We start from the raw sequence: 25,458 nt of genomic DNA, 5'->3' as shown, positions 1-25,458 counted from the left end.
AAATGGAAAGACAGTATCATTTGCAAGAGCATCAAAAAAAATTGAATACTTAGAAATAAATCTGATTAAAGATGTGGAAAACCCATATACTACAAAACACTGCTGAGAGAAATTAAAGAAGACCAAAGAGAAATATATACCTTACTCTCAGGTTGAAAGATTAAATATTAAGATGTCAACGTTTTCCCCAAATTTATCTAGAGATTCAATACAATCCCAATAAAAATCTTACCAGGCTTTTTTTTATAGAAACGGATAGAGTATTCCAAAATACATAAGAAAATGCAAAGGACCTAGAATAGACAAAACTACTTTGAAAAAAAAAAAAAAAGAACAAAGCTGGAATAAGAACAATGCTAATTGATTTCAAGACTATTACTAAAGCTATAGTAATCAAGAAATAGACCTACATATACATGAACAACTGATTTATTTTTTTATTTTTATTTATTTATTTATTTATTTTTGAGACAGAGTCTCATTCTGTTGCCCAGGCTGGAGTGCAGTGGCACAACCTCACCTCAATGCAACCTCCGCCTCCCAGGTTCAAGCGATTCTCCTGTCTCAGCCTCCCGAGTACCTGGCACTACAGGTGCACGCCACCACACCCAGCTGATTTTTGTATTTTTAGTAGAGATGGGGTTTTACCATATTGATCAGACTGGTCTTGAACTCCTCACTCAGGTGATCCACTGTCTCGGCCTCCCAAAGTGCTGGGATTACAGGCATGAGCCACCGTGCCCAGCATGACGTTTTGACAAATAAAATAGCCCCCTTAAACTATGGTTTCACTTTCCACAGTTTCGGTTACCATTGTCAACAGCTGTCTGAAAATATTAAATAGAAAATTCCAGAAATAAACAATTCATAGGGATTTTTTCATGTCATTCTGAATAGCACTGTGAAATCTCACACCTTCCTGCTCCATTTTGCCTGGGATGAGAATCATCCCTTCGTATAGGGAACAACACTAACACCCTTTAGTCACTTAGTAGCCATCTCAGTTATCAGGCTATCATGGTACTTCAGTGCTTGTGTTCAAGTAACACTTATTTTATTTAATGGCCACAAAGGGCAAGAGTAATGATGCTGACATACTGTTATAATTGTTATATTTTATTATTGTTAGTCTCTTATTGTGCCTAATTTAGAAATTAAACTTTATCATATGTATGTATAAATGTATAGAAAAATATTGTATATATAATTTGGTACCATCCACAGTTTTAGGCATCCACTGGGGGTCTTGGAATGCATCCCCAGCAGATAAGGGGCAACTACTGCATACAAAAGCAATACAGTGGAGACAGGATGGTCTTTTCAACAAATGGTGTTAGAACAACTGATATGTGTATATAAAAAATGAATTTTGTTCCACGCCTCACACCACATACAAAAAATTAACTCAAAATGGACACAGACCTAAATGTAAAACCTAAAACTACAGAGCTTTTAGATGCAAACAGAGGAGAAAATCTTTGTGACCTTGAATTAGGCAAAGAATTATAAGATTTGACCAAAAACATAATCCACAAAAGAACTGATAAATTGGACTACATCAAAATTTAAAAGCTCTACTTTTGAAAAATCTTTGCAAAATCTACATCTGATAAAGGTCTTGTATCTAAAATATAAAAAGAACTCTCCCCCCTCTCCCTCTCCCCCTCCCCACGGTCTCCCTCTGACGCCGAGCCCAAGCTGGACTGTACTGCCCCCATCTCTGCTCACTGCAACCTCCCTGCCTCATTCTCCTGCCTCAGCCTGCCGAGTGCCTGCAATTGCAGGCGCGCGCCGCGATGCCTGACTGGTTTTCGTATTTTTTTGGTGGAGACGGGGTTTCGCTGTGTTGGCCAGGCTGGTCTCCAGCTCCTAACCGCGAGTGATCTGCCAGCCTTGGCCTCCCGAGGTGCTGGGATTGCAGATGGAGTCTCGTTCACTCAGTGCTCAATGTTGCCCAGGCTGGAGTGCAGTGGCGTGATCTCGGCTGGCTACAACCTCCACCTCCCAGCCGCCTGCCTTGGCCTCCCAAAGTGCCGAGATTGCAGCCTCTGCCCGGCCGCCACCCTGTCTGGGAAGTGAGGAGCGTCTCTGCCTGGCCGCCCATCGTCTGAGATGTGGGGAGCGCCTCTGCCCCGCCGCCCCGTCTGGGATGTGAGGAGCGCCTCTGCCCAGCCACAACCCCGTCTGGGAGGTGAGGAGCGTCTCTGCCCGGCCGCCCCGTCTGAGAAGTGAGGAGCCCCTCCGCCCGGCAGCCACCCGTCTGAGAAGTGAGGAGCCCCTCCGCCCGGCAGCCACCCCGTCTGGGAAGTGAGGAGCCCCTCCGCCCAGCAGCCGCCCTGTCTGGGAAGTGAGGAGCGTCTCCGCCCGGCAGCCGCCCCGTCTGGGAGGTGGGGGGCAGCCCCCACCCGGCCAGCTGCCCCGTTCGGGAGGGAGGTGGGGGGCAGCCCCCGCCCAGCCAGCCGCCCCATCCGGGAGGTGGGGGGGCGCCTCTGCCCGGCCACCCCTTCTGGGAAGTGAGGAGACCCTCTGCCCAGCCGCCACCCCATCTGGGAGGTGTACCCAACAGCTCATTGAGAGCAGGCCATGATGACAATGGCGGTTTTGTCGAATAGTAAGGGGGGAAATGTGGGGAAAAGATAGAGAAATCAGATTGTTGCTGTGTCTGTGTAGAAAGAAGTGGACATAGGAGACTCCATTTTGTTCTGTACTAAGAAAAATTCTTCTGCCTTGGGATGCTGTTGATCTGTGACCTTACCCCCAACCCGGTGCTCTCTGAAACATGTGCTGTGTCCACTCAGGGTTAAAGGGATTAAGGGCGGCGCAATATGTGCTTTGTTAAACAGATGCTTGAAGGCAGCATGCTCGTTAAGAGTCATCACCACTCCCTAATCTCAAGTACCCAGGGACACAAACACTGCAGAAGGCCCCAGGGTCCTCTGCCTAGGAAAACCAGAGACCTTTGTTCACTTGTTTATCTGCTGACCTTCCCTACACTATTGTCCTATGACCCTGCCAAATCCCCCTCTGCGAGAAACACCCAAGAATGATCAATTAAAAAAAAAAAAAAAACTAAATTAAACAGGCCAGGTGTGGTGGCTCACACCTGTAATCCCAGCACTTTGGGAGGCGAAGACGGGGAGATCACAAGGTCAGGAGTTCGAGACCAGCCTGGCCAACATGGTGAAGCCCTGTCTCTACTAAAAATGCAAAAATTAGCCAGGTGCCTGTAGTACCAGCTACTAGGGAGGCTGAGGCAGGAGAATTGCTTGAACCTGGGAGGCAGAGGTTGCAGTGAGCTGAGATCACGCTATTGCACTCCAGCCTAGGTGACAGAGCAAAACTCCATCTCGAAAATAAAAATAAAAAAATTAAAAAAAAAAAAAACCCTCAAAACTCAAGAATAGGAGAAAAACAACCCAATTTTTCAAATAGGCAAAAGATTTGAACATTTTCCTAAAGAAGATATACCAACGGCAAATAAATAGGAAAAGTCTCAATATCGTTAGTCATTTGGAAAATGTAAATTAAAAACACAACGAGGTAACACCACATTCCTATTGTAATGACTAAAATTAAATAGATTGACAATACCAAGTATTGGTGAAGACATGGAAAAAAAATGAAACATTGACACATTCTAAGTGAACGTAAAATTGCACTGCTACTTTGGAATCTCAAAATAATTAGGTTGACTGAAAGAAGCCAGACAAACAAGAGTACATACTGTCTAAATACATATAAAACTTTAGAAAATGTAAACTGATCAACAGTGAAAGAAAGCCAATCAGTGTTTGACTGAGAAGGGATAGAGTGAGATGCGGTGGGAAGCAGAGATTACAAAAAGGTATGAGGAAACTCTTGGGGGTGATGGATATGTTCACTATCTTGAGTGTGGTTATGGTTTCGCCAGTGTATACAAATGTCATAACTTATCAAATTGCACACTTTAAATATATACAGTTTATTAAATGTCAATTATACTTCAAAAAAGCTGTTTAAAAAACACACTAACCAGGAGAGATAAAAGCTGCTTTTCTTTAAAACTTTACATGCTTATGGCCGGGCACGGCGGCTCATGCCTGTCTGTAATCCCAGCACTTTGGGAGGCCGAGGCGGGTGGATCACCTGAGGTCAGGAGTTTGAGACCAGCCTGGCCAACATGGTGAAACCCCATCTCTAGTAAAAATACAAAAATCAGCCGGGTGTGGTGGTGGGCGCCTGTAATCCCAGCTACTCAGGAGGCTGAGGCAGGAGAACTGCTTGAACCTGGGAGATGGAGGTTACAGTGAGCCAAGATCGTGCCACTGCACTCCAGCCTGGGCGACAGAGCGAGACTTGTCCCCGCCCCCGCCCCCCCCCCCCCAAAAAAAAAAAAAAACTTTACATGCTTATAAGACTACAGCTATCTGAAGATAAAGATTTAAAAATTATCTTTTAAAAATGCAAATTCGACATTTCATTTTGGGGAAAATTTTTGTTAAAAAACAATATTTAACTTTACAACATAAAAAATTAAACATTACCTTTATGAAAGAGTTTGAAATTTTTAGTTGCATGATATTTCAAATAAAACATTCAAAAAATATTTAAGGAAAGTCATATGCAGAGTCACGTTTTCCTGTTCTTTTGAATATTTAGGGCTAAAAATAGGAGTCAGTTATGCCAGGAATATAGGTTAAAAAAAAAAATCACCTTGCAATAAAATCTCCACTAAAAAATTTTAGAACTAAATCTTCCAGAAACGTAAATTTACTGATAAAATTTGTCCTGCCTTTTATTTATTGTGGTAAAATATATATAACATTAATTCTACCATTTTAACCAATATTAAGAGTACAATTCAATGGCATTAAGTACGTTCATAATGTTGTGCAACCATCATCACTATTATCTCCAAAATTTTCATCACCTCAAACACACATAGTAAGGAATTACAAAGTGTTTATTAAACAAAACAAAAACAGGAAATTGAACATACTTCTTTAGATGCAGTCTTGTAAATCACAGATGACATGAGAGTCAGATGCTACTATCCACAAAAACAGTAGGCAAAAACCACTGGCTACTGATTACATCCACCTGAAAATTCTGAAAACTCCTATTTGTAATAGATGTTCAATTAAACTTCCTTTTACTTATTAATCTAAAAACAGTATCACGCAGCTAATTAAAAATCATGTATCTATTTTTTCCAGTTTTTTCATATTGGCCGAATATTGTGCCTAAATAGTCTATTCAGCTTTTCTAAATTCATTTGACCTAATTGTTTTATTTAAATTTCCAACTAGGCGTTCTAAAAGACCTCAACAAGAAATGCTAATTAGAAATACTACTGCCATCATCCTCACATCACTACTTCAGCACCAATATCACTACCTCCAAAAAGACAAAAAGAAACAATGAGAAAAATTAGTAATGGATAATAAAGATCTCCACAACCATAATCAGGACCCTGAAAGGTCTCTTACTAAGAAATAAAAGTTAAAATATTTCTAAAATATTTTGCACAAAAGATTAGGATTTATGTTTACAACAAACAACACTTCTCTTCTACCAAGGTGTTTCCAATAAACATTCTGTAGGTTTTCTGGAGAGTTGCAGTAAAGACAAGAAAAAGAAAACTAAAATCAGGAAGCACAATCCTTCTAGGTTCACAACACAAAATCTATAAACAGGAACAGGGGAGAATTGGGTCTGCCTATATTCCACAGCCCTATTCAGATAGTGTTATGTAGGTACTTTAAAAAGGTAGAATCTCTCAAGTCCAAAGGACAGCAGGGACAGGTATAACTTGAAAAACAATTCCACTATTAAAATTAAACCACTGCACTTCATTCTATTTGTGTTCTCACTTATAAGTGGAAGCTAAATGATGAAAATACATAGATACATAGAGGGGAGCAACACACACTAGCCTATCGGAGGGTGGAGGGTAGGAGGGAGAGGATCAGGAAAAATAACTAATGGGTACTAGGCTTAATACCTGGTTGATGAAATAATCTATACAACAAATCCCCATGATTTAAACTTACCTATGTAACAAACCTATACATGTAAGTCTGAACTTAAAAGTTTTTTAAAAAATGATTTAAAAATCTATCCTGGTTTTCTCACCATGTAACTATTCTTCCAACTACTGTCAAGATAAAAATTCTATTCTGACCGTTATTTTTGTTGATTCTCCAAAATTAGAAATCTTAACTCTTAATACAAGTAAATATTTCTTTTTTAAAATACATATTTCTACAACTGATATTGACTGAAAAATTAGCTAGAAAAACATATGCCAAAATATTACTTTATAGAAAATACTGTTTTCAGCTTAAATAAATTCCATTTAAGAATGCTTCTGTAGGGCTGGCCATGGTGGTTCACGCCTGTAATCCCAACACTTTGGGATATCGAGGTGGGCAGATCACGAGGTCAGGAGTTCGAGACCAGCCTGGCCAACATGGTAAAATCCTGTCTCTACTAAAAATAAAAAATAAAAAAAAATAGCCAGGCATGGTGGCTTGCACCTGTAATCCCAGCTACTCAGGAGGCTGAGGCAGGAGAATTGCTTGAACTCGGAAGGCGGAGGTTGCAGTGAGCAGAGATCATGCCACTGCACTCCAGCCTGGGTGACAGTGCGAGACTCTGCCTCGGGGAAAAAAAAAAAAAGCTTCTGTGTCTTGATAGATGTAGATGTTGTACAACAGTGAATGTACTAAATGCAATCAAAATGGTTATTTTGTGTTATGTGAATTTTCACATGAAAAAGACAGTATTTCTATGCATATTCTGGGTCATACAGCTAATTGAAAATCATGCATCTATTTTTTCCAGTATTCCTGAAGAAGGGAGCATATGGCTCTAATTGTTGCTGACAGATACCTGGAGAACTCCAACATGGATAATGACACAGCTGTAAGAATCATTTTAAAAAGTAGAGCCGGAAACTCAATGGGACCATACCTGAAGCCTGCATTCCTTAGACTTAATCAGTTCAAGACAGCACAAAGCCTATATTTTTATGGATACTTCTGAATCAGAACAAGGAACCCACGAAGGTCTATAAATCCAGTCTGCATTAAACTAGTAACTCCAAATCTTAGAATACACTAGTCTACCAAATAAAGTCCAACTTTTTAAATTATTTAAGCTCCTTGGGAAGCTGGCTTTATCCATACAGCTAACTATTCTCCAGTGATAACCCTCCATGCTTCATTTTAAGTGTTCTACTAAATCTTCCCTGAATGTCTTAGAAATGTGCATTCTTTTGGTTTCGTCTTGTTGCTTCTCTGTGCTTAGAAGGCCCTCTCCTAAGGCTATCTAAATGTTAACCATGCTTCAAGATCCAGTTCAAATCCCTTTTTCTCCATTAGTCATTCTCTTACTACTACTTTTAGGAAGATTCTTTCATGGCCATTGCGAATAAACTGCTTCTGAGGATATCTACCTAATATATTGTGTTACTTTTGTATTGTTAAAAATTCTTCTTTGCTGTAAATTTATTAACCTAACTTTTTTTTGCCATGTCAAGAGTGAATCATATCATAGTTTTCCTTAAGTGGAAATTATAGTCTTATAGAAAGACGACATATTGTTTTGCTAACATGTTAGAGGATCCCATACAGAAAAAACAGGAACGTGAAAATAATAAATCTTACAATGTAAATTATCTTATTTTGATGTATCCTTTAAAATTAACTATCTCATTTTCTTGTTGTAATGGCCAAAAGATTCCTTTGTGAGGAACCTAATAAGAACATATTTTGGAACTGCACAGCAATTGTGGAACAAGAGAAAATTTGAAATGTATTTAATCACACTACATTTCCAACACTTTGTTTCAGAGTAAATATAGGCATCTCAACCTCAAATAAAATTCATGTGCATTAGGGTATTTGCAAAATTAACTGCATGGGATAATACACCAATATAAATTCAATTTCCTTTTCCAATTTCACTGATTGCACCTCTTACAGTAAACACATAGCTGGTCAATTTCTCATCAGGAAACACGAATTGGCACTCTGTTTCGAAGGTGACAAACAATCTTTCACCTTTCAACCTTCAATAAGAAAATGAAATTTTAATCAATACAGGTAGATCCCCCACCCCCAATACCCTAATCCCAAAAAGTTATGCTTGTGGTTGCCATGCCTAAGAGTATTACTTAATGCTTAAAATCATCGCAGTTTATCTTTTCAGCTACAGTAGACACATTTTGTCAAATCCAAAGTGTACTAAGACTTTAAGCTTTAAAGAATAAAGAATTTTATCCTAAAATATATATATACATTTATATTTATAAGAGTGTATATATGCATGCATTTCTGTTCCATGAAACAGAAAGCCTGAAACAGTGAATAACCCAGTAGCAATGATACTTCCAAAGCAGTGTCCAGTATGTGGTGTCTAAAAGGAAGTAAGATTCCATGATTATTACTTAAAAAAAAAAAAAAAAAAAAAAAAACAACCAACAGTCCCTGGAAAAATGGCTGATTGGAGGTCCCAGGCTGGAAATATATATGTCAAGTCTGGAAATTTTTGTAATATCAAATAGAAAAGAAGTTATAATAGGATACTAAGAGTCTATCAAAAGGAATGAGAAAACCAACTGAATAGGCTCCCACTGGCCAAAGATGAGAATTTAATCATTAATAGGGATAAAACTGCACTGTACCAAAATATACCAAATATATTGAAATATACAAATTGAATAAGACACTTAAAATGTTTCACTGGTCATCTTTGGAAAAATGTTACAGAATCAACATTATTTTGAAAAAGGTAAACAAAGGGAAATAATTAAGCATTTATGCTATCTTTCCTATACAATCTGTATGTAAGAATAACCAAATAATTGACAAAGGGAAGTTTCCCTTTATAGAAGAATTCTGGCTAATAAACACAGGAGCATTAGGATATCACCATTTTGTAAACCTTAATGAATTAAAAGATCTAGGGTTAGGCAATGATCACCAGTAGTAACAAAACAGATAATCTGATAATATATATATATATATATATATATATATATATCCAGCACCTATAGTGTTCTTGAGAAAAATACATACACACATTATATATAGTCAGAATAGAAACAAGCTTCTAGATTTAACTACAAATTTACTGTAAATAAAGAGAACAGAAACTATGCTAAGATGCACCACAGGAGTACAATCAGCAAAATCCAGACTCTGGGAGACAAAAACAAAAAACCTGAATAAGCCAGTTTCTTCCATCAAAAAATAACAACAACAATAATAAAATTGTAAAAAGACAAACCAAAAATTCAAGAAAAAAAAGAGATGCAGCAGAAACCTATAAATTAGCTCTAACAAACAGAATTTTCTGTAATAAGAGAAATAATCTGTACTGTCCAGTATGGTAGCCCCTAACCTCATATCGCTACTGAGTACTCGATATATGGGTAGGGCAACTAAGGACCAGATTAATTCATTTCAGTTTTAATCAATGTAAATAGCTACATATGGCTAGTGCCTTCTGTACCAAATGGTGTCATTACAAACCAATGAAAAATTAAGAGACCTACTAATCAATCACAATATATTGTATGATGAATCTTATTTGGGTCCCTATTCAAGCTAATAAATCTTAAAATACACATAAAACAATTAGGGGCCATGTAAAAAATCTGGGGGCATGAGGGTAGTCCTGCCCTTGTTCACCACTGCTGCCAGTAGCTGCGCCTGTCATCAGGATGACTGAGGACTGATCTGCCCTGCCTACCATTGGTGCATTATGTGCATAATCAGGGGCCTGAGAAGAGGTCTGCCCTGCTAACCATGGCCAACACCTGCGCACATCATCTGGGAGCCTAGGAACTGGGAAATACCCACCCAACTGATGCTGGCACCCGCATGCGTTATCCAGAGGCCTGCAGATAGGTCTGCTCTGCCCACTGCTGACATACATATATGATGTCTAGGAACTGAAGACAAGCCCACTCCACCCATCACCACCACTGCTTGAGTCTGAGCGTGCCAACTAGTGACCTGGGAATCAACCCACCCTGATCACTACTGCTGGCATCCACACATGCCATCCAGTGGCTTGGGGACATGTCCACCTTGCCCACCTTGCCCACTGCCACCACCACTGGTGCCCAAGGACTAGCTGGTCTAGTGTTTTCATCCCTAGCAAAGCCTCAAACAGCCTTCACTAAAAAACACAGTCTAAGCCAATGAGAAACTCATAGATACCACTGACACTAATTAAAGCTACATAAATAATTCAGAAACTACACTACTGCCCTACCCAGAATCAAAACCAAAGCAACCTACCCAATCAACACTACAGTTATGCCTACAGGAAAAAGTCTTTCTCTAAGAAAGTCAATCCATAAAATTGGAAGAAGTGACTGTTAAATCAGAGGTGCAGATATCAGCATAAGGATGCAAGAAACATGAAAAAGCAAGAAAATATGATATCTCCAAAGAAACACAAGTTCTCCAGTAAAAAGAAAAAAAATCCCAAAAAAGAGAAATTTATGAAATGCCTGAAAAACAATTCAAAATAATATTAAAGAAACTCAATGAGAACACAGATAAACAATATAAAGAAATCAGGAAAATAATTCATGATCGGAATGAGAAAGTCAACAAAAAGATACCATTTTTAAAAATCAAAAAAATCCTAGAACTGAAGTAGTCAATGAATGAAATAAAAGATACAATCGAGAGCTTCAACAACAGACTAGATCAAGCAGAAGAAAGAATTTCTGAACTTGAAGACAAGTCTTTTTAAATAACCCAGTCAGTACAAAAAAAAATAAAGAAAGAAAGAATTGAACTCAGCTCTGCACCAAGCAGACCTAATAGACATCTACAGAACTCTCCACCCCAAATCAACAGAATATACATTTTTTTCAGCACCACACCACACCTATTCCAAAATTGACCACATAGTTGGAAGTAAAGCTCTCCTCAGCAAATGTAAAAGAACAGAAATTATAACAAACTATCTCTCAGACCACAGTGCAATCAAACTAGAACTCAGGATTAAGAATCTCACTCAAAGCCGCTCAACTACATGGAAACTGAACAACCTGCTCCTGAATGACTACTGGGTACATAACGAAATGAAGGCAGAAATAAAGATGTTCTTTGAAACCAACGAGAACAAAGACACCACATACCAGAATCTCTGGGACGCATTCAAAGCAGCGTGTAGAGGGAAATTTATAGCACTAAATGCCTACAAGAGAAAGCAGGAAAGATCCAAAATTGACACCCTAACATCACAATTAAAAGAACTAGAAAAGCAAGAGCAAACACATTCAAAAGCTAGCAGAAGGCAAGAAATAACTAAAATCAGAGCAGAACTGAAGGAAATAGAGACACAAAAAACCCTTCAAAAAATCAATGAATCCAGGAGCTGGTTTTTTGAAAGGATCAACAAAATTGATAGACCGCTAGCAAGACTAATAAAGAAAAAAAGAGAGAAGAATCAAATACGAGGAGGAACTAGTACCATTCCTTCTGAAACTATTCCAATCGATAGAAAAAGAGGGAATCCTCCCTAACTCATTTTATGAGGCCAGCATCATTCTGATACCAAAGCCGGGCAGAGACACAACCAAAAAAGAGAATTTTAGACCAATATCCTTGATGAACATTGATGCAAAAATCCTCAATAAAATACTGGCAAAACAAATCCAGCAGCACATCAAAAAGCTTATCCACCATGATCAAGTGGGCTTCATCCCTGGGATGCAAGGCTGGTTCAATATACACAAATCAATAAATGTAATCCAGCATATAAACAGAGCCAAAGACAAAAACCACGTGATTATCTCAATAGATGCAGAAAAAGCCTTTGACAAAATTCAACAACCCTTCATGCTAAAAACTCTCAATAAATTAGGTATTGATGGGACGTATTTCAAAATAATAAGAGCTATCTATGACAAACCCACAGCCAATATCATTCTGAATGGGCAAAAACTGGAAGCATTCCCTTTGAAAACTGGCACAAGACAGGGATGCCCTCTCTCACCGCTCCTATTCAACATAGTGTTGGAAGTTCTGGCCAGGGCAATCAGGCAGGAGAAGGAAATAAAGGGTATTCAATTAGGAAAAGAGGAAGTCAAATTGTCCCTGTTTGCAGACGACATGATTGTTTATCTAGAAAACCCCATCGTCTCAGCCCAAAATCTCCTTAAGCTGATAAGCAACTTCAGCAAAGTCTCAGGATACAAAATCAATGTACAAAAATCACAAGCATTCTTATACACCAACAACAGACAAACAGAGAGCCAAATCATGAGTGAACTCCCATTCACAACTGCTTCAAAGAGAATAAAATACCTAGGAATCCAACTTACAAGGGATGTGAAGGACCTCTTCAAGGAGAACTACAAACCACTGCTCAAGGAAATAAAAGAGGACACAAACAAATGGAAGAACATTCCATGCTCATGGGTAGGAAGAATCAATATCGTGAAAATGGCCATACTGCCCAAGGTAATTTACAGATTCAATGCCATCCCCATCAAGCTACCAATGACTTTCTTCACAGAATTGGAAAAAACTACTTTAAAGTTCATATGGAACCAAAAAAGAGCCCGCATCGCCAAGTCAATCCTAAGCCAAAAGAACAAAGCTGGAGGCATCACACTACCTGACTTCAAACTATACTACAAGGCTACAGTAACCAAAACAGCATGGTACTGGTACCAAAACAGAGATATAGATCAATGGAACAGAACAGAGCCCTCAGAAATAATGCCACATATCTACAACTATCTGATCTTTGACAAACCTGAGAAAAACAAGCAATGGGGAAAGGATTCCCTATTTAATAAATGGTGCTGGGAAAACTGGCTAGCCATATGTAGAAAGCTGAAACTGGATCCCTTCCTTACACCTTATACAAAAATCAATTCAAGATGGATTAAAGATTTAAACGTTAGACCTAAAACCATAAAAACCCTAGAAGAAAACCTAGGCATTACCATTCAGGACATAGGCGTGGGCAAGGACTTCATGTCCAAAACACCAAAAGCAATGGCAACAAAAGCCAAAATTGACAAATGGGATCTAATTAAACTCAAGAGCTTCTGCACAGCAAAAGAAACTACCATCAGAGTGAACAGGCAACCTACAACATGGGAGAAAATTTTCGCAACCTACTCATCTGACAAAGGGCTAATATCCAGAATCTACAATGAACTCAAACAAATTTACAAGAAAAAAACAAACAACCCCATCAAAAAGTGGGCGAAGGACATGAACAGACACTTCTCAAAAGAAGACATTTATGCAGCCAAAAAACACATGAAGAAATGCTCATCATCACTGGCCATCAGAGAAATGCAAATCAAAACCACTATGAGATATCATCTCACACCAGTTAGAATGGCAATCATTAAAAACTCAGGAAACAACAGGTGCTGGAGAGGATGTGGAGAAATAGGAACACTTTTACACTGTTGGTGGGACTGTAAACTAGTTCAACCATTGTGGAAGTCAGTGTGGCGATTCCTCAGGGATCTAGAACTAGAAATACCATTTGACCCAGCCATCCCATTACTGGGTATATACCCAAAGGACTATAAATCATGCTGCTCTAAAGACACATGCACACGTATGTTTACTGCGGCACTATTCACAATAGCAAAGACTTGGAACCAACCCAAATGTCCAACAATGATAGACTGGATTAAGAAAATGTGGCACATATACACCATGGAATACTATGCAGCCATAAAAAATGATGAGTTCATGTCCTTTGTAGGGACATGGATGAAATTGGAAACCATCATTCTCAGTAAACTATCGCAAGAACAAAAAACCAAACACCGCATATTCTCACTCATAGGTGGGAATTGAACAATGAGATCACTTGGACACAGGAAGGGGAATATCACACTCTGGGGACTGTGGTGGGGTCGGGGGAGGGGGGAGGGATAGCATTGGGAGATATACCTAATGCTAGATGACACGTTAGTGGGTGCAGCGCACCAGCATGGCACATGTATACATATGTAACTAACCTGCACAATGTGCACATGTACCCTAAAACTTAGAGTATAATAAAAAAAAAAAAAAAAAGAAAGAATAAAAGAAACTAAAGAAAGCCTATGTGACATATGGGACACTATAAAGCAGACAAATATTCTAATTCTAGGAATCCCAGAAGGTGAAATGATGGGTAAAGATATAAAAAGCCTATTTAACAAAATAACTGAAAACTCTCCAAGACTTGCAAGAGATTTGGTTATCCAGATCCAGAAGCTCAATAATTCCCAAACAGATTCAACCCACAAAGGTCCTCCGCCAAGCATATTATAGTCAAACTATCAAAAGTCAAAGACAAAGAGAGAATTCTGAAAACATCAAGAGAAAATTGTCAAGTCACGTATCAAGTAATTACCATCAGACTAACAGCAGATTTCTCACTACAAACCTTACAGGTCAGAAGATAATGAGATGATATATTCAAAGTGCTGGAAGAAAAAAACCTGCCAGCCAAGAATACTATGCCCAACAAAGCCATCCCTAAAAAATGAAGGAGAAATATTTTTTTTTCCAAATGTGCAAAAACTGAGGGCATTCATTCATCACCACTAAACCAGTCCTAAAATACTTAAGGGAATTCTACATCTGAAAGCTAAAGAATAATATCTACCATCATGAAAACACACTGAAGTATAAAATTCACTGGTACAGCAGATACACAAAAATGAGAAAGAAAATGGAGACAAATGTTGTCACTACAGAAAACCACCAAACCACATGATAAACAAGAACAGAAGAAAAAAGCAAAGGATGTATAAAATTAACAGAAAATAATGAACAAAATTACAGGAACAAGTCCTCACCTATCAATAATAACCTTGAGTGTAAATGGATTAAATTCCCCACTTAAAAGATACATACTAGCTGAATGGATTTTTTAAACATGATCCACCTATATGCTGCCTACCAGAAACCCATTTCACCTGTAAAGACACATATAGACTGAAAGGGAAGGAAAAAAATATCTCCCGCAAATGGAAACCAAAAGTGAGCAGGAGTTGTTATCAGATAAAACAAACTTTAAGTCAAAAACTGTAAAATGAGACAAAGAAGGTCATTAAATAATGATAAAAAAATCAATTCAGCAAGAAGATGTAACAATTCTAAACATGTATGTACCCAACACCAGAGCACCCAGATATTTAAGGCAAATGCTAGATCTAAAGAAAGAGATTCCAATACACTAATAGTTGGGAACTTCAACACCCTACTCTCACCATTGGATCAATCATCTCGACAGAAAATAAACAAATAAACATCTTAACTGCACTTAAACTAGATGGACCCAACAGACACTTATAGAACATTTCACCCAACAGGTGCAGAATAAACATTCTTCTCATCAGCATATGGAACATTCTCTAGGACAGACCATATGTTAGGCCACAAAACAAATCTCAAGAATTTTTAAAAAATCAAAATAATGTCAAGTAACTTCTCAGACCACAATGGAATAAAACTATAAATCAATAACAAGAGGAACTTCGGAATCTATACAAATACATGAAAATTAACAACATGCTCCTCAATGACCACTGGGTCAATACAGAAATTAAAAAGAAAAATTTTAAATGTCTTAAAACAAGTGAAAATAGAACCACAACATACCCAAACCTACAGGACACTGTTAAAACAGTGCTGAGGAAAGTTTATAGCAATAAATACCTATATCAAACAAGTAGAGGGATTTCAAATTATTTAATGATACACCTCAATGAACTAGAAAAGCAAGAACAAGCCAAACCCAAATCAGGAGAAGAAAAGCAATAATAAAGATCAGAGCAGAAATAAACAAAAATAGAGACTAAAAAAATATACAAACAATCAGCAAAATAAAGTTTTTGAAAAAATAAAATGGATAAACTACTAGTCAGACTAACCATGAAAAAAAGAAGACCCATATAAAATTAGAAAGAAAAAAGGAGACACTATAACTGATCCCACAGAAATACAAACTTATTAGACACTATTATGAACAAATTAATGCTAACAAATTTTAAAACTTGGAGAAAATGTTTAAGTTCCTGAACAACCTACCAAGATTGAATCAGGAAGAAACAGAAAACCTGAAAAGACCAATAACGAGTAGTAAGACTGAATCAGTAATAAAAAGTCTCCCAACCAAGAAAATTCCAGGATTGGATGGCTTTACTGCTGAATCCTACCAAACCTGTAAATAACTAACAATAATTCTCCTCAAGCTATTCCAAAAAACTGGAGAGGAGAAAACTCTTCCTAACTCATTCTACAAGGCCAGCATTACCCCAATAACAAAATCAGACAAAGACACAACAAAAAAACTACAGGCCAATATCTCTGACAAACACAGAAGCAAAAATCCTCAACAAAATATTAACAAACAAAATCCATCAATACATCAAAAAGATAATGCACCACGATCAAGTGGGATTTATCCCAGGGATGCAAGGATGGCTCAACATACACAAATCAATAAATGTGAAATATCACATCACCAGAAAACAAAAACCGTATGCTCATCTCAATAGACACACACAAAAAAGCATCTGATAAAATTCAATGTCCTTTCATGATAAAAACTCTCAACAAACTAGGCATAGAAAGAGCATATCTCAACATAATAAAGGCCATATATGACAAACCCACAGCCAACATCATACTGAAGGGGAAAGGTGAAAGCCTTCCTTGTAACAACTGCCCACTTTCACCATTCTTGCCCACTTTCACCATTCTTGCCCACTTTCACCATTCTTATTCAACATAGTACTGAAATTCCTAGCCAGAGCAATCAGGCAAGAGAAAGAAATAAAAAGGAACCCAAATTGGAAATGAGAAAGTCAAGTTGTCCTGCTTTATAGATGACATGATCTTAGATATAGAAAAACCTAACAATTCCACCAAAAAAACCTCTTAGAAGTGATAAATTCCGTAAAGTTGTAGGATACAAAATAAGCATACAAAAAATCAGTAGGGTTTCTATACACCAATAATGAACTGAAAAGAAAGCAATCTCATTTACAATAGCTACCATAATATATATATATATATATATATACACACACACACACACACACACACACACACACACACACACACACCCAGGAATAAATTTAACGAAGGAGGCAAAAGGCCTCTACGATGAGAACTACAAAACACCAATGAAAGAAACTGAAGACAACACAAACAGAAAGATATCCCATGCTCATGGGTCAGAAGAATTAATAGCATTAAAATGACCACACTACCCAAAGCAATCTACAGATTCAATACAATCCCTATCAAAATGCAATGATATTCTTCACAGAAATAGAAAAAAAAATCCCAAAATTTGCATGGAACCACAAAAGACTCCGAATAACCAAAGCAATCCCAAGCAAAAAGAACAGAGCTGAAGGCATCACACTACCTGACTTCAAAGTATACTACAAAGCTATAGTAACCAAAATAGCAAGATACTGGACTAACTACATACACACAGGCCATTGGAACAGAATAAAGAATCCAAAAATAAACCCACATATTTACAGAAAACTGACTATCAACAAAGGCTCCAGAACATACACTGGAGAAAGAACAACCTCTTCAAAAAATGGTGCTGGGAAAACTGGATATCCATATGCAGAAAAATGAAACTAGATCCCCCTCTCTCACCACACACAAAAATCAACTCAAAATGGACAGAAGACTTAAATGTAAGACCTGAAACTATAAAACTACCAGAAGAAAACAAAGGGATATGTTTCAGAACATTGGTCTGAGAAAACATTTCATGACTAAGACTTCAAAAGCGCAGGCAACAAAAGCGCGCGCGTGCGCGCGCATACACACACACACACACACACACACACACACACAAATGGGACTACATTAAACTAAAAGGCTTCTGCACAGCAAAGGAAACAATCAACAGAGTGAAGACAGCACCTGCAGAGTGGGAGAAAATATCTGCAAACTATTCATCTGAAAAGCAAATAGTATCCAGAATACCCAAGGAACTCAAACAACTCAATAATGAAAAAGCAATCCCATTACAAAGTGGGCAAAGGATTTGAATGGACATTTCTCAGAAGAAGACATACAAATGGCCAATAGGTATATGAAAAAAGTGCTCAATATCACTAATCATCAGGGAAACGCAAATCAAAACCACAATGAGATATCAACTTACCCCAGTTAGAATAACTATTATCAAAAAGACAAAAATAACAATACTGCTGAAGATGCAGAGAAAAGGGGACTCTTATTCACTGTTGGTGGGAATGTAAATTACTACAGCCACTGGGAACGACAGATTGGAGGTTTCTGAAAAAAACTAAAAATAGAATGACCACTTAATCCCCCAATCCAAAGAAAAGAAAATTAGTATATCAAAGGGATATCAGCACCAACATGCATATTGCAGCACTATTCACAATAGCCAAGATATGGAATCAACAGATGAACAGATAAAGAAAACATGGTGTGTGTGTGTGTGTGTGTGTGTGTGTGTGCACACAACAATCAGGAGTCGGGGTGACACAAGATTAGCCCCTTCACTGATAATGGTTAAAGCTCGATTGTTGAAAAATGGGGTTCTTTATACATCCTCACCACTTTTTTATGTCTTTAAAAAGTTCCACAATCAAAAAAAAAATTGGGGAAGGGGAATACATTGATCCAGTGTACTAAAAAGAGATTTGTGGTCCTTGTTTCCCCCAGGAAGGATATCAGAAATAAAGATAAATTTGAGGTATAACTTGGAATATTTTGCAGGTAACTATCACTAGAGGCAGATAAATGGTCCTTTACTATATTTTATACACTCAAGTCTGACTAATATCTATTGGCCAGTTTTTCACTTTCCGGGATCATACCTGAATATTTCTTTGACACCATTTGACTGCTCCTTTCACAATACAGCAGGTAGAAACACGTGAAGCAAATGCCTCATTTGGACTTCAAGCTCTAGTTCACAATTTGAAGAACATTATAATATTTTTTTAAATGTAAAAGCATGGATATAGTAGGCTGAGAATGGCAGCTCATGCCTATAATCCCAGCACTTTGGGAGGCCAGGCAAGAGGATCGCTTGACCCCAGGAGTTCAAGATCAGCCTAGGCAACATAGCAAGACCCTGTCTCTACAAAAAAATTTCTTTAATTATCCAGGCACACTGGCATGCGCCTGTAGTCCTAGCTACTCGGGAGACTGAGGTGGGACAGTCTACTGAGCTCCGGAGTTTGAGGCTGCAGTGGGCTATGATTTTGCCACTGCACTACAGCCTAGATGACAGAGTAAGATCCTGTCTCTAAAACAACAACAACAACAAAAATTTTTTTAAGAATATGGTAGGCACAAAAGTGTTCCTTCCCCTCCACCAAAAAAAGATATCTATATCAAATCCCTAGAATCTGTGATGTGATCTTATTGGAAAAAAGAGTCTTTGTAATGTAATTATAGATCTTGAGATGACATCATCCTGGATTGTCCAGGCAGACCTTAAATCCAATGACAAATGTCCTTAGATACCCAGAGGACAGACAAAGGACAAGGTAAAGAGGCACGGATTGGAGTGGCCACAAGCCAAGAAAGCCAGCAACCACCAGAAGCTGTAAGAGGCAAAAAACAGATACTCTCTCAGAATTCCAGAAGGAAGGTAGCCCTGCAGACACCTTGATTTCAGACTTCTGGCCTCCAAAACTGTGAGAGAATAAATGTCTGTCATTTTAAGCCACCAGGTCTGTGGTTTTTACAGCAACCGAAGGAAACTAATGCAAGAGGTTATCTACTTTTCCAATTATTGACTACCTTTTTTTCTTCATACTGCCTCAGATAACTGAAGTCAATGCTACTCCAAATGATTTTTAGAGTATCTCTTCCATTTCAGTGGCAGGAATTTTTCCTTTATTCAATGATACCTAATACTGGAAAACCACTACTCTCTGATCACAACTTCATATGCTTCTTTCTAGCTTTCTCGTTGTTTCTTTACTGAACACCTTAGGTGGTCTTGCCTAAAGAAAATGAAAACAACTCAAAAAGGAACTTCCCTTACTTTGAACTCTGCCAACTTTAAACTTTAACAATTGCTCCAGCTTTCTAATGTCTACTTCAGGAAATTCTATCTGAAATCATCAGATTCATCTGCTGGTATCTTTTCCTCTACAACGTAGAGTCTACATTTGTAATTCCCAGAACTTTTTTGTTCCATGATTTAATGTTTTATCATTATCTCTTCCCTATTTCATTACCTTCTCTCAAACTTGACAATAAAAAGGAAATGACACTGTGTGATAACTAAAACAGTGACTTCATATATTAGTGACTTTTACAGGTGATGAAATATTTTAAACACTAAAGATGCATTAAACAGTGTCACAAAGAAAGGATTATAAACCCGTGTTTATAACATTTCTTCATTGCTTCCAGCTTCCTACCTGTATGCTACTAAAAATTATATTTGTTATCATAACATAATTTTACTATTTATATCATTATCTAACGTCATAACAATGAGCATTAAATTAGATCTAATTCTCTTTCTGTGAAAAAGAAGTAGATATTTCTTCAAATCAAATAGCAATGCTATTTGTTCTTCAGAAGTACACCTTGCCTCTTAGTGAACTAGACTGAAGTTAGTGACATCTTTATAGAATATACGAGTCCATTTTTGAAGTTAATAGTTCTTGTTATCTACAAGCTGTCATTTTCATAATACAAATGAATATGCAAATCACTTTCCAATGTAAACATGAAACAAATAATAAGGCACACCCTTCAGAAATAACTCCATTACATGACTTTGAGTATCAATCAGAACTTTTCATCCTTCCTAAAGGGAGTTAATGAAGAATAAAATATATCATTCTTAAAGAGATGGCAACTATTTTGTTGGCTTGCTATTGTCTCAACCTCCACTCTTAGCCATCTGTATTTCTTTATGGCTCTCACAACAAGGCTCAGTGCCTACAGATAGATCTACCACTTCATTCTTGGGGTTAACCTCACTACTAGTCCCTTGTATAGTCTTCTCATGCAACATTATCCCACTTCAAGCAGAGACAATAAATGACTAGGGTACCTTACTGACAAAACAATGCTAACAGAAAAATGGAACTTAGAAAAGCTACTCTCCTGCCTTTGCCCAGCTGAAAATGTAGCAAATTAAATATAGCTCTGCCTATTATAAACATCAAACTGTTTTATAGCTAGGTCAGAAAAGTCATGTAAATAATTTTTTTAGAGACAAATATGCAGGATAACAAAGTGGAAACTGGGGAGAGGGGACAAGATTTAAAATAACATGAAAAAGTAATGTTATATAAATGCACATATTTGACAGTAATCCTATAAATGCAAAAACTACTTCATGAATTTTAGAAATGCAATTCAGTCTTCCATTCTCCAGAATTAAAAAGCAAGCTCACATCTGTTAAAACAACAAAGATCTAGGGACAGGGGTGACATGGAAGAAGATGCTTGAAGTAGACCCTGTCCATTGAAGCGTATAATAAGAATGAATAATTTACAAGCGCACTTTCATCTTCAATGTCACTAAGAACTGAATTCTAAGGAGCTTAGGGAGACTGTAACACATCTGCTAACCAAGCAGAATAAGCAGAGAGAACCTAAGCCAAAATTTCTAACAAAACCTGTTCACAAGACTGGAGAGGGAACAGGGAGACTAAAGAAGAAATGGCAGAAAAACAGAGACTAGTGTGGTGGCCAGTTACTTATGTCCTTATCTCTATTTATTCATCCAATTTCAGAAAGTCAGATAGCTGTATTAAGCTGAGTCAGAGATGAATTAAGCTAACATTAGCTATGTACACTCTCCATCAAAAGGAATGTATTGTAAGATAAAAAGATAAGCAAAATATACAAGGAAAACTATCAAGCAATAGGTCTATTTTAATTTAAATAGTCTAAAAAATACATTCCACTGAGTAGATATATATCAAAAAATCCTCTAACAACTCACATATGGTCTTTCAAATCTATGCCAATTTCATGTATCTTTGAAAGGAGGCATACTAAACATAAAAACACAAAAAGAAACGGTTTAATTGGTGTTTTGACAAAATACATAGTCTCTCAATACTTCATAAAATATAGTTTCTCAGCAATAAAACATGATGCCACAAAAACAAAAAACCTTTAAAATTATAATCTTGTATCATCTGCTCCTCTACTAATTTTAAAAAATACCGTATGTGTCATCTCAGACTATACCTTATGAAACCAAAATGCCAGTACTGTAAAACAACAACTACTAATAATATGTTTGGCCATCTAACCAGCAGGTAAAATTCTGCATCTAAACATAATAGATCAAGAGAATTTGAAAAATTTTTAAAACACACACACACATAGAGAAGCAACCTAGGTTAATTTACTCCTTTTTTTATAAACAGTACATTGGCTTCAAGGAATTGAGGAAAAGGATTCACTTTTATTCCTACTCAATGATGTGTCAAGTAAATATGTAAACTACATGCCTATTTCGGATACTAGATATAAAAATTTTAAAAAGTCATAATCACTAGTCACAAGAGACTTACATCCCAGAAAGAGAATTAATCAATTTTTAAAACAAGATATCAGTAAGTAACAAATGCTATGCAAAGAAATAAACTACAGTGAAGCAATATAAAGTGACTAAGTGGCTATATTAGACTGCAAGAGGAAGCTTGGCCTGATTTAGGTAAAGAAAGGAGCCTAGGAAAAAATGGGGGAAATGTAGAAGGTGAGATCATGGACATTTATGATTTAAGACCAGATTATTTAGGAATTGTAGTTCATAGTAATACATTTTTACATTACATCCTTGGATTATAAGAAGCAGCCTATTAAAACTCACCGTCATGTTCTTTGTAAAACTATTGTTGGAGATACTGTTCAACACAGAAACAAAAGACTCTCCATGAGAGTCCAAGGAAGAATTTCCTCTCAAATTTCATGTTCAGTAAAAGCTACTTTTTCTGAGGAACTGGTGTAAATTCACCTTATATCAATTTTGAAATAATGTCTTCTTCTATCCTCTGAAAATTCAGAGCTGAATTTACATTCTGTCAATGGTACAAAACCTTACGGTATCTATTTTATTTAAATACACTTTTTTTTTTTTTTTAGACAGAGTCTTGCTGTTTCACCCAGGCCAGAGAGCAGTGGCACAATCTCAGCTCACTGCAACCTTCATCTCCTGGGTTCAAGCAATTCTCATTGCTTAGCCTCCAGAGTAGCCAGGTTTACAGGCATGCGCCACCACACCCAGCTAATTTTTGTATTTTTAGTAGAGACGTGATTTCACCATGTTGTCCAGGCTGGTCTCAAACTCCTGACCTCAAGTAATATGCCAGCCTTGGTCTCCCAAAGTTCTGGGATTACAGGTGTCAGCCATCACAAATGGGCAAATAAACTTTTAACCTTAGAATAGTTTTAGATTTACAGAAAAGGTGCAAAGATAGTACAGAGAGTTCCAATATCCTCTAAACCCAGCTGCCCCTATCATTAACGTCTTACATAAATATGGTACATTTGTCGCAATCAATGAATCAATAATGATACATTATTATTAACTAAAGTCCATACATTACCCAGATTTCTCTAGTTTATGCCTGATGTTCTTTTTCTGTTCCAGAATCCTCATGGTATCTATTCTATGTATTAAATTTACTCTAGTTTTACTCTCACTATTCTGTCTTCATTTTCCCCTTATTCTAAGCTCTGTATCTACTGTTATCTAATATGTGCTATCTTATTCTATAAACCTTCCCCAATACTTCTGGGAACTATATGGAGTAATAAAAAAATTAGGAGAGAAATTTATTGAAAGAGACAATTTGCTTTTTTCTAACAAGTTAAATAGTCTAGTATTTTTCAAAGTAATGTTTTAAAAAATTCTTAAATCTTTTAAAAATAGAGACACAAGGAAATGTCCAATTAAAATTATATTCAAATATATCATTTAGAGAAAAATGCAAAGTCATTTTTTAAAAAGTCTTTTTATATTAATCTCCAGAATTCTCTTTTGTTGTCAAATAGAGCATTAATAATCCCAACTGTCATTACTGAGTCATGCAACCTTAAAGTGGTCTCAGAATGCACAAATCTAAAACAAAGGTTAAGCAAAATTATCTTTTAATGTCCCTTTCCATTAGAAATGTCAATTTCTTAGTTCCGTTACCTTGGTTGACTATTGGATTCTCATATTTTTCCATCACAAATAAAGAGTAGAAAACACTTATGCTTTTAAACAAAAAATACATTTTAAAAAGAATACGACAAAATGAAGTTTGAAGCTTTCCTTGCAATTAATTCAGAGTAAAAACTAAAATAGATTAATCAAATACAGCATGTAATTTATATATATCTAATTTCAAAAGTATCCTGGGAAAGAGGGAAGACAGGCAGTTTAAAAAAAAATAAAGATGTAAGGATGTGAGCATTTACCCACGTAGATTAATTCCATAAAATTACTGAGACAGCAAACTGGGAGTGGGGAGCATGAGAAAAGGTAAAAGATATTTCACTTTATATTTTCCACAGTTCTGTATCACTGAAAACTTGACACAATGTCAAACGGGTACTATATGTAAGAATTGTTATACTTAACCTATAAAGGTAAAAAATTATCTTGCCTCAGAACAATCCTGATTATTAAGGTATGACTGACTGATGCACTGATGGGAAACCTCCAGTTTGCAGTTTAATATAATTTGTTACAAATATCAAGAGGTAGTATACTCACTGACATCAGGAATTATAAAAACCCCACAATTCTAGTCACTTTAATCCCCTAATCTACTGCCATGTATTCTATATTTACAAGTCTTTCTGCAGAAAAGGATAACAAAATAGTAAAAATTTAAATATGCATTATTTAAAAAATCAATAGGCTGGGCGCAGTGGCTCACACCTGTAATCCTAGCACTTTGGGAGGCCAAGGTGGGTGGATCACTTGAGGTCAGGAGTTCGAGACCAGCCTGGCCAACATGGCAAAACTGGCCATGTTGGCCAGGCAGGTTAACATGGCAAAACCCCATCTCTACTAAAAATACAAAAATTAGTCGGGCATGGTGGCAGGCACCTGTAATCCCAGCCACACAGGAGGCTGAGGCAGGAGAATCACTTGAACCCCCAGGAGGCGGAAGTTGCAGCGAGCCGAGATCACGCCACTGCACTCCAGCCTGGGAGAGAGAGCAAGACACTGTCTCAAAAAAAAAAAAAAAAAAATTAATAACATACTGTATAATCTGTAACACAGAATTCTAAGTCAACATCTCAGTCACATATTTCCAATGTAAATGGTTACACAAAAATACCAGTGATTACATAGAAGAGTAGGTAATGAAATATATCAGAATTATATCAGAAATACCAGTGATTACATAGAAGAGTAGATAATGAAATATATCAGAAATATATCTAAAATATATATTTACATATATATTGATAAGGAATACCTGAG

The 25,458-nt window shown here is 37.1% G+C and overlaps 1 protein-coding gene across 4 annotated transcripts in view, besides 2 other annotated features; it reads right to left on the bottom strand.

The window, feature by feature from the left end:
- Positions 1-25,458, bottom strand: part of XPR1 (xenotropic and polytropic retrovirus receptor 1) — a 258,258-nt gene that overhangs the window by 177,007 nt on the left and 55,793 nt on the right. The window lies entirely within an intron of this gene.
- Positions 1,742-2,442: an enhancer, noted in NCBI's record as "H3K27ac hESC enhancer chr1:180679967-180680667 (GRCh37/hg19 assembly coordinates)". NCBI's record gives its function as "activates a minimal SCP1, AML or CMV promoter by ChIP-STARR-seq in naive H9 embryonic stem cells {active_cell/tissue: H9 hESC(naive)}" and the evidence as "EXISTENCE:reporter gene assay evidence [ECO:0000049][PMID:30033119]".
- Positions 14,173-14,373: a silencer, noted in NCBI's record as "peak486 fragment used in MPRA reporter construct". NCBI's record gives its function as "represses an SCP1 promoter by STARR-seq MPRAs in K562 erythroleukemia cells {active_cell/tissue: K562}" and the evidence as "EXISTENCE:reporter gene assay evidence [ECO:0000049][PMID:32103011]".

This window comes from Homo sapiens, chromosome 1 (assembly GCF_000001405.40).
Source record: "Homo sapiens chromosome 1, GRCh38.p14 Primary Assembly".
Taxonomy (NCBI): Eukaryota; Metazoa; Chordata; class Mammalia; order Primates; family Hominidae; genus Homo; species Homo sapiens.
This window is presented reverse-complemented; position numbering and strand designations above follow the sequence as displayed.